This window comes from Homo sapiens, chromosome 8 (assembly GCF_000001405.40).
Source record: "Homo sapiens chromosome 8, GRCh38.p14 Primary Assembly".
Classification (NCBI taxonomy): Eukaryota; Metazoa; Chordata; class Mammalia; order Primates; family Hominidae; genus Homo; species Homo sapiens.
In genome coordinates, this window is record NC_000008.11 from 30,000,526 (window position 1) to 30,010,330 (window position 9,805).

Sequence of the window (9,805 nt, forward strand, 5' to 3'; positions counted from 1 at the left end):
ATATCTGCCTGGCCTGCTCAGCCTACTTTTGATCCCGTCCCGGCCCAGCCTCCATTCCAATCCACAAAAGCATTAAGATCCCCAAATGCCAAGGCCTGCAGCTCAGCTCCTGTGCCCTTCAGCAATCCTTGCCGCCTCGGTTTGCTGCACAATCCTCCATAGAGAGCTGCCTGAGGTTCTATGTAAGCATCAGCCTATCCTCTACTGAAAACTCTTTTGATGTTTTTGTTCCTGAAAATACCCAAGTAGTGCATTACTGGAAGAAAAGGAAAGGGAACATGAGTCTCCAAGGGCTGAACATCCCTTTGCATTTCGGATCGCCTGAAACTATCGTGCCAAAAAGTCAATCAAGCAGCATGTATTAAGCCACGTGCATTGGTGTCACGGCCAGTTTCCCCAAGACAATACTAAGGAAACATGAATGGGAAGAAAGGGCAGAGCTATTCGGTAGCCAGGACTACCCTCTAGTGTTTAGTCAGAGGCCTTAACTCCCTCCACAACCCCACAAGCCAAATAAAAATAATACGAAGATACTCATTGCTAAACAGTAGATTGTTCATCTTACAGCATCTTAATGTTTTTTTGCATTACCGTTACCAGTCTAGGCCACACACAGAAAGGCAAGCTGTTCTTTTGACAAATTATTCCAACTGAATACAAGATTGTTTAAGGCAGCCATGGGTCATTTATTCACTATCCGATAGCAATAATATCCATGTCTGATCATGCAGCAGGGTTATTTTACAACTATTAAGCTAACCCTAGAAAACGTTATTTTAGTTTTGGAGGGTTTGGGGGATTGACTGTTTTTTGCTGATGCGAGCTCTGTGTTGCCCAGGCTGGAGTGCAGTGGCTATTCACAGGTGCAGTCATAGCACACTGTAGCTTCCAACTCCTGGGCTCAAGCAATCCTCCTGCCTCAGGCTCCCCATTAGCTGGGACTACAGGCCCCTGCCAGCATGCAAGCTCCAGAATATGTTTTGATGGTAACATCTAGTGCTATCAAAATTGTTAAAAAACGGATAAACTCATACTTTGTGTGTATATATACATGTATGTGTGTATATACACACATACATGTACATATATGTGTGTATATACATATACATATGTGTGTATATACATATACGTGTATATATACATATATACATATATGTGCGTGTATATATGTATATACACATACATGTATATATGTGTGTATATATGTATATACACATACATGTACGTGTGTGTGTGTGTATATATATATTTTTTCTTTTGAGATGGAGTCTTGCTCTGTCACCCAAGCTGGAGTGCAGTATCTCGGCTCACTACAACCTCTGCCTTCCAGGTTCAAGCGATTCTCTTGCCTCAGCCTCCTGCATAGTTGGGATTGCAGGCACCTGCCACCACACCCAGCTGATTTTTGTATTTTTAGTGGAGTCAGGGTTTTATCATGTTAGCCAAACTGGTCTCGAACTCCTGACCCCAAGTGATCCACCTGCCTCGGCCTCCCAAAGGGCTGGGATTACAGGTGTGAGCCACTGTGCCCGGTCATACTTTGTATATTGATATTTGCTAAACTCATCATTGTATATTGGGAAGCAACATTATAATATGTTTAGGTATCATGAAATGTGTTACCTTTTGATCCTGATTCCAGGAAATAATGCAACAGAATTTTTTAAATGATACAAATAGGAAAGTAGACCACAGCTTTATTTGCAATAGCTTCTTACTGTTATATTATTCGGCCACTTAAAATAATGATTTTAAAGCCTCTATTTGTGGTTTCATGTAAAATGAAAAAAGCAGGTTGTAAATTGCATGTACAGTGTAATTACAAGTTGTAAAATGTGTACATTGTATGGATATGTACAAACACTAGGTTGGAATGTAAAATAATAAATACAAATAATATTTGGTCACTTTGTGTTAAAGTAAGAGATGCTATTTGTTATTTGTATATTCTTTGTTTTGTTGTTTTGTTTTTAATTTTTTTAAGGCTGCCTTTAAACTGCTTACTAACATGTATCCAGCTTGGAAAAAGGTTCTCAGGTCCACAAGACCCTTTCTCAACTCAAAGCTAAGCCATTAAGTAATTCTCAGCTTGTGGCTTGAGGCCAAATGATCATTTTGTGGTTTTTGTTGCTAAAGCCAAGAATCCTATTAATTGGAAATAAGACATAATGAATACACAATAACAAATGAATTACAAGAAATATCACGGCCTATCAGTAAAACCACGTTATATGAATTACACAATGTTAGATGAATTATATGAATATCAAGGATGTGAATGTAATGTTGACATGAATAACTCGGAATAAGAGTCTTAATAAAAATATCAGAACATGCAATTGTACATTCACACCTCTTAGCAATAGTTTAATCACATAGATCGGAAGTAAGTTTGAGGTGCTTTATGTTGATGAAATTGTTAGTGTTAGTTTTTCTTTTGCTGTAAAGTTCTTATGGTTCAAAATTTTTTATGGCAACTCACCTTAGAGATTAAGAAATCTGGAGTCAAGTAGACCTGTGCTTAGTCCTCCTCTTGTACTCAGGAGAAGTTTCTGTGGTCTCAGCAACTTAGCAGGTGACCCAGAAGTGTTCTCAAAACCAGGCAAGCGGTAGCTAGAACAAAGTGATTGTCTAAAAAGCAGCTTTATAATGGGCTTCCACAGAGTGTTTGTAGCATCCAGTTGAGGATTTGTGACAAAGATAAAAATCCTAGCCAGGTTTTGGTCTTTAACTGAAGATTTGGTTTAAGCCACTGGAATAGTCATAGAACAGATTTGAAATCACACCATACTCATGGCTATACGATTCAAAATTAATGACACAACTATCTGAATATCTCCAAATATATGACATGAGGATAAAGATATAGCCCAGAGAATGTTTCAGAAACAGCCAAACCATTCAAAGGCAGAACAAAGAAGGGTATGTTGTTAAAACAGGCCAGTCAGGGACAAATAAATCAATCTTGACAAATAATATTAATCTTCTCATAAATGATTTCCTCACTGAAATTTGTATGCAAATCAATTCGAGAGTAGAAACATAAGGAAAAATGGAAACATTCACAAAATTAATGAATAGCCTTTCTTTTTTATTTTTATTTTTATTTTTTTTTTTTGAGACAGAGTCTCGCTCTGTCACCCAGGCTGGAGTGCAGTGGCGTGATCTCGGCTCACTGCAAGCTCCGCCTCCCGGGTTCACGCCATTGTCCTGCCTCAGCCTCCCCAGCAGCTGGGACTACAGGCGCCCGCCACCATGCCCGGCTAATTTTTTTGTGTGTTTTTAGTAGAGACGGGGTTTCACCGTGTTAGCCAGGATGGTCTCAATCTCCTGACCTCGTGATCCGCCAGCCTCAGCCTCCCAAAGCCTCCCAAAGTGCTGGGATTACAGGCGTGAGCCACCGCTCCCGGCCTGAATAGCCTTTCTAATGATGAACATATTGGCTGGGCATGGTGGCTCATGCCTGTAATCCCAGCACTCTGGGAGACTGAAGCAGGCGAATCACTTGAGGTCAGGAGTTCGAGACCAGCCTGGCCAACATGGTGAAACCCCATCTCTACTAAAACTACAAAAATTAGCCAGGCCTGGTGGCGTGTGCCTGTAATCTCAGCTACTCAGGAGGATGAGGCAGGAGATTCACTTGAACAGGAGAAGCAGAGGTTGCAGTGAGCTGAGATCGCACTACTGCACTCCAGCCTGGGTGACAGAGCAAGACTCTATCTCAACAACAACAAAAATTGCTGAACATATTACAAAAGAAATAAACCCCTGGTGAAATAGTCATAGTTCAGGATGTAAGGATATGCTTCCACTTGCCAACAAAAAACATTAAGATCCTGGCAAGTGCAATATGAGACAGTCACTGCAGAGTGAGTCGAGTATCTGAGCTGGAGTTGCCCTTAGCTTCATGGTATAAAGTTGGATATGGGTTATACTTAGGAGAAAATAGAGCTTTGTTTTCTTTTGCCTGGAATGAATTCCATTATGCAACTTCAGAACCAGCATTCAGAGTCCTGGGTGGCCTCTCATACCTTCCAATTGCAGCCCCTTCTCCTTGTCCTCTTTTCCTCTTCTGACATCCAAACTCTTTTTTTTTTTTTTTTTGGAGACAGAGTCTCGCTCTGTCGCCCAGGCTGGAATGCAGTGGTACGATCTCGGCTTACTGCAACCTCTGCTTCCCAGGTTCAATCAATTCTTTGCCTCGGCCTCCCGAGTAGCTGGGAGTGCAGGCACCTGCCACCACGCCCAGCTAATTTTTGTATTTTTAGTACAGATGGGGTTTCACCATCGTGGCCAGGCTGGTCTTGAACTCCTGACCTTGTGATCCACCCACCTTGGCCTCTCAAAGTGCTGGAATTACAGGCGTGAGCAAGCTCGCCTGGCCTCAAACTTTTAAAAGAAAGGAATCACAGACAGGGTTGTTACTGGGCTCTCTCCAGTCTTACACAAGGACGCAGATCTTTTCAAAGTTGTTTTTATTGCCCTTAAATGACACTATTGAAAGCTCACTGGTGTCCTAACTCTGGAAGGTGGCTAGCAATGGGGTGAGGTGGGGGAAATGGAAGAGCAGGTGCCCTGTATTAATCCATTCTCACACTGCTATAAAGATACTACCCAAGACTGGGTGATTTATAAACAAATGAGGTTTAATTGACTCACAGTTCCACATGGCTGGGAAGGCCTGAGAAAACTTACATTCGTGGTGGAAAGGGGAAGAAGGTACCTTCTTCACAAGGCAGCAGGAAAGAGACAAAAGCAAAGGAGGAACTTGCCAAACACTTATAAAACCATCAGATCTCGTAAGAACTCACTCTCACAAGAACAGCCTGGGGAAAACCGCCCCCATGATCCAATCACCTCCCACCATGTTCCTCCCTCAATACCTGGGGATAACAATTCAAGATGAGATTTGTATGGGAACAAAAGCCAAACCGTATCTTGCCTCAAGACCAAAAATGAGTGCTAATCAGAGACAATTTAGAAGGTAATCCTTTTTGTAGGAAAAGAAAATGGCTTCAAGATAGCCAGCAGAGATAAATTGGGTTAAATTAGTAAATTTAGAAGAAACAAAACAGAGCAGCCAGACCTTGTAGTAAGAGACAGGGAATGGGAGAAAGGGAAAGACAAAAAGGAGAACTATTGAATAATTTGCATCTGTCATCTCAAAAGTCAGCAGGGGATCCAACTAAGGCTGAACTGCATACGTCCACTGCTAATTGACCTGGGAGCCCATCGCCCTTCTTTTGGCAATTGCATTAGGGTGAGAAAAAAACACATTCCAAAGAAGAAAACTGCAGTGTAAGTCCACTCTACGTGCAGACTAATTGGCTCCATCCTTGAGGGGGAAGGTCAAAAGAAAAGTTCCAAGGAATTTGTGCTTTGGACAAAGAACGAACATGATGAATCTGATTTGTGTACTTAAGGAATGAGTTGGACTTCTGGGGGATGTTGACTTGTTGCTTCTCCTACTGGTCAACCAGGGAATAAAGTCATGCAATTAACACATACACACCCTTTCTTGGTTCTGCATGTGAAAGGAAAATAAATCTTGGGACCCCAAAATCACTAAGCCACAGGGAAATGTCACGCTGGGAACTGCGTCAGGCAAACCTGCCTCCCATTTTATTCCAAAATAATATAGCTACAAAGACTTTTTTAAAAACTACATACCTCGCTCACAATTTGCCCACAAGGAAATTCCTTGTGGGTCTCAAGATCTTTACCCTAAAACAGTTCTGCTGAATTTCACCCTGGCAATGTAAATTGACAGCTTATCTTCACAGGTGCCAGACAGAAAGTCATGCCCCTGCTCGCCTGAGACAAATGCATATCTGATTGCCTTCCTCTGCCCTATTGTTCATGTAAAAATGCAGGTTCACTGAGCCGGACTAAAGCATAAGTGACTATTCCTCTACACATACCCCTGACACTTAAATTGTTCATTCAGTGAAAGGCTGGTCAGCCGGGCTTGGTGGCTCACGCCTGTAATCTCAGCACTTTGGAGGCCAAGGCGTGTAGATTACTTGAAGCCAAGAGTTCAAGACCAGCCTGGCCAACATGGTGAAACCCAGTCTCTAACAAAAATACAAAAATTTGCTGGGTGTGGTGGCAAGCGCCTATAACCCCAGCTACTCGGGAGGATGAGGCAGGAGAATCGCTTGAACCCAGGAGGTGGAGGTTGCAGTGAGCTGAGATTGTGCCATTGCAGTCCAGCCTGGGAGTCAGAGTGAGACTACATCTCAAAAGAAGAAAAAGAAAGAAAGAAAGAAAGAAAGAAAGAAAGAAAGAAAGAAAGAAAGAAAGAAAGAAAGAAAGAAAGAAAGAAAGAAGAAAGGAAGGAAGGAAGGAAGGAAGGAAGGAAGGAAGGAAGGAAGGAAGGAAGGAAGGAAGGAAGGAAGGAAGGAGCTGATCAAAAACTCAAAAGAATGCAACTGTTTGTCTCTTATCTACCTATTACGTGGAAGCCCCTACTTCAAGTTGTGCCGCCTTAACAGACTGAACCAATGTACATCTTACAAATATTGATTGATGCCTCATGTCTCCCTAAAATGTGTAAAAGCAAGCTGTGTCCAAACCACCTTGGACACAGGTTGTCAAAACCTTCTGAGGCTGTGTCATGGGTGTGTCTTTAACCTTGGCAAAATAAACTTTCTAAATTGATTGAGACCTGTTTCAGACACTTTGGGTTTGCATACACATCAGCATCACAGACGGGAAGAAACCACATACTGGGAAATAGTGAAAGAGCACTCTCCCAGGGTCCCATGTAAGTTGTCCTGGGTTAGAAGCAATCTACACGAGTTCCTGTGAGATTGCACTTTATTTGTTAGGAGTTAGCTTGCGGTAATCAGCATACAACCTCCACCCTTGCAAACAAAAACAAAAAAACAAAAAAAAAACAAAATGGCAGTGACATCTACAAATCCAGAGAAGTGACCCAAGAGAGGGAGAACAGGAAATAAATGTATGGCAGCATATTTATTGACTCTACAAACATCGGTGCCAGACTGATGATTAGAGGGTTGGTCCAATGTATATTTTAATTTTAATGACTAAACTCGACCAAGAACTGACCTTTGAGAAGAAAAGTTTGTCTTGGCCACTAGCCACAGCAGCTTGAGAGATGGGAGCAAAGGGGTGGGCAACCAGAGAGAAGCTCTTCCAGGGTCCTATGTCAGTTGGTCTGGTTTAGAAGCCATCTACACAGGCTCCTGTGAGATTTCATTCTATTTGTTAGGAGTTAGCTTGGAATGATCAACAAACAAGCCAAAAAAAATGGCAGTGGCTTCTACAAATCCAGGGAAGTGACCCAAGCATCACAGTTGCTCCACAGTGACAGGAGCCCAGGCTCCTTCTATCTTGTTGCTCCCAGAGGTGGAGTCTTGTCCTCAAGGCCCAAGAGGTAGCATCTGTCTTCCAGACAGCAAGATAAAGCAGGGGGCGGAGACCTTGAGAAGGCAGGTCTTAAGCTCCTAAGAGATGGAGAGGAGGAAAGAAGGGAATGGAAGCAGATGTCAAAAGCAAACATCATGTATGTGATTATACCACCGCAAAACTTCTCTGAGTACCTTGGGTTGCTGATACTTGGTTAATTGCCCCCAGTGGCCTCAGATATCAGGCTTTATCTCTGAGGCACACCAAGAAAAGATGCAAATATGAGAACTGAAAAGCAAACCCACCTTGACTGAAGTTTCCACGTCTGCAGACTGGGAGAAGACTCCTGTCATCCCCAACAACTATGGACCACACACAGTTAGATTCCTATTTCTACCCTCAGTTTGCTGTATACCTTAGAAGTCTCCTGGCTCCTCTAACCAACAGTTTCCTATTTACATAAATAGGAATCCTATTTCTGCCCTCTGGCCATCCTTTAGAGTTAGGAAGGATAAAACAGACAGCAGTAAAGAACTTGAAACTCCTTGAATGTAGGTATCATATAAATAGTCTCATACAGTTTCAAGATTTCAACTAATTATAATATGAGCTAGAGGTTTAGTAGAAAATTTGGGGGTAGAGGGGCTAACTTAAAGGAGTCCTGTGCTCTCTCATTCCTTGCACCTTCAGTGACTATGTTATGGCCATCTTACGGGGCTTCGCAGTTCATATGCTCTGGTTGTAATGCACTCCCTTTCTTAGCTTATGCTGGGGCACAAATGAATTCTCCTTCATGCACAATCTTCCTGAAATAATCCTAAAGCATTGAAAGAAGTTGTCCTACAAAAGCTGATGGATTATACAATACACTTTGTAGATGAGTGCAGCCATGTAAGAAGTAGAGGACTGGCCAGGTGCGGTGGCTCATGCTTATAATTCCAAGAGTTTGGGAGGAAAATGTGGGAGGATCACTTGAACCCAGGAGTTTGAGAGCAGCCTGGGCAACATAGTGAGATCTCATCTCATGGAGGGGGAGGAGAAGGAGAAGGAGGAGGAGGAGGAGGAAGAGCAGGAGGAGGAAGAGGAGGAGCAGGAAGAGAAGGAGGAGAAGGAGAAGGAGAAGAGGAAGAGGAAGAGGAGGAGGAGGAAGAGGAGGAGAAGACTGACTGACTCCTCTGGCTCCAAAAACTCTGATGTTTGCCCTCTCTTTTCCCAGTAGGGTGTGCTTTCCCCATCAGCAAGCCACAGCCCGGCCAAATAAACCACTGTCCTAGAACTCCCCACATGGTATTCTCTCATCTAGTCTCTGTGTCTGCAACTGGTGCTGAGTGATCCAATTCCTGGAGCCAGCCAGTGCCAGAGAGCCAAGCTATTTTCTCCCCCAGTGCCACCGCCACTGGGGCTTAGAGACCCCCATAACCACTGGTTCCCTCCTTGACACAGCCACTAAAGTTCTTCTGAGCCACCACCACCACCCCACAGCCTGCCACCCTACCCTACAATCACTGCCCCTAGAGGTCTGTCTCTTACTCACTCCATCCAGCTGGGCTTTTCTCCCTCACCAAGAAATTAATGCAACTTCTAGCGTTCTCTCTCTTTCTCTCTCTCTTTCTCTCTCTCACTCTCTCTGCCATGTGCAGAAAGAAGATGTAACTTCGTAAAGTTGCACCATTTAAGCAAAAACCTGCATCCAGGAGCCATGTGGCTAATTTTTCCCAAGGGCTGAGGTTCCTTGGAGCCTCAGCATTGTCCTGCATCCCTCACCTCCCCACATCACCCTCCCTGTAGGAACCAAGACAGTCATTAGGGATCCCAATGACTTGTATTTGTCATTTTCATCCCTGCCTTCCTCCGTGCCATTCTCAGAGCCCAGCTATTCCTTATGGACCCTTTATCCAGTGCCAAACTACCCAAACTTCCAGGGAGAGGAAGGATCCCAGAGACCAAATGCTTTCCAGGAAAAGAGGGGAAAGAGGCAAATGCATCCAGAGAATCAAACCTGACCTCTCTCTGCCCTCACCACATCCTCCTCCCTAGGATGGTGATATGGTTTTGCTGTGTCCCCACCCAAATCTCATCTTGAATTGTAGCTCCCATAATCCCATGTGTTGTGGGAGGAACCCTGTGGGAGATAATTGAATCATGGGGGCAGTTTCTCCCACACTGTTATCGTGGTAATGAACAAGTCTCACGAGATCTGATGGTTTTATAAGTGGAAACCCCTTTTGCTTGGTTCCCATTCTCTCTTGCCACCACCATGTAAGACGTGCCTTTCCCCTTCCACCATGAGTGTGAGGCCTCCCCAGCCATATGAAACTGTAAGTCCACTAAATATCTTTTTCTTTATGAATTACCCAGTCTCAGGTATGTCTTTATCAGCAGCGTGAAAACACACTAATAAAGATGGGCAGCTACTGCCCAAATCCCTGAG

The 9,805-nt window shown here is 43.5% G+C and overlaps 1 annotated feature.

Moving 5' to 3' along the window:
* Positions 208 to 502: a silencer, noted in NCBI's record as "tiled region #3682; K562 Repressive non-DNase unmatched - State 13:Ctcf". NCBI's record gives its function as "represses a minimal TATA promoter and a strong SV40 promoter by Sharpr-MPRA in K562 cells {active_cell/tissue: K562}" and the evidence as "EXISTENCE:reporter gene assay evidence [ECO:0000049][PMID:27701403]".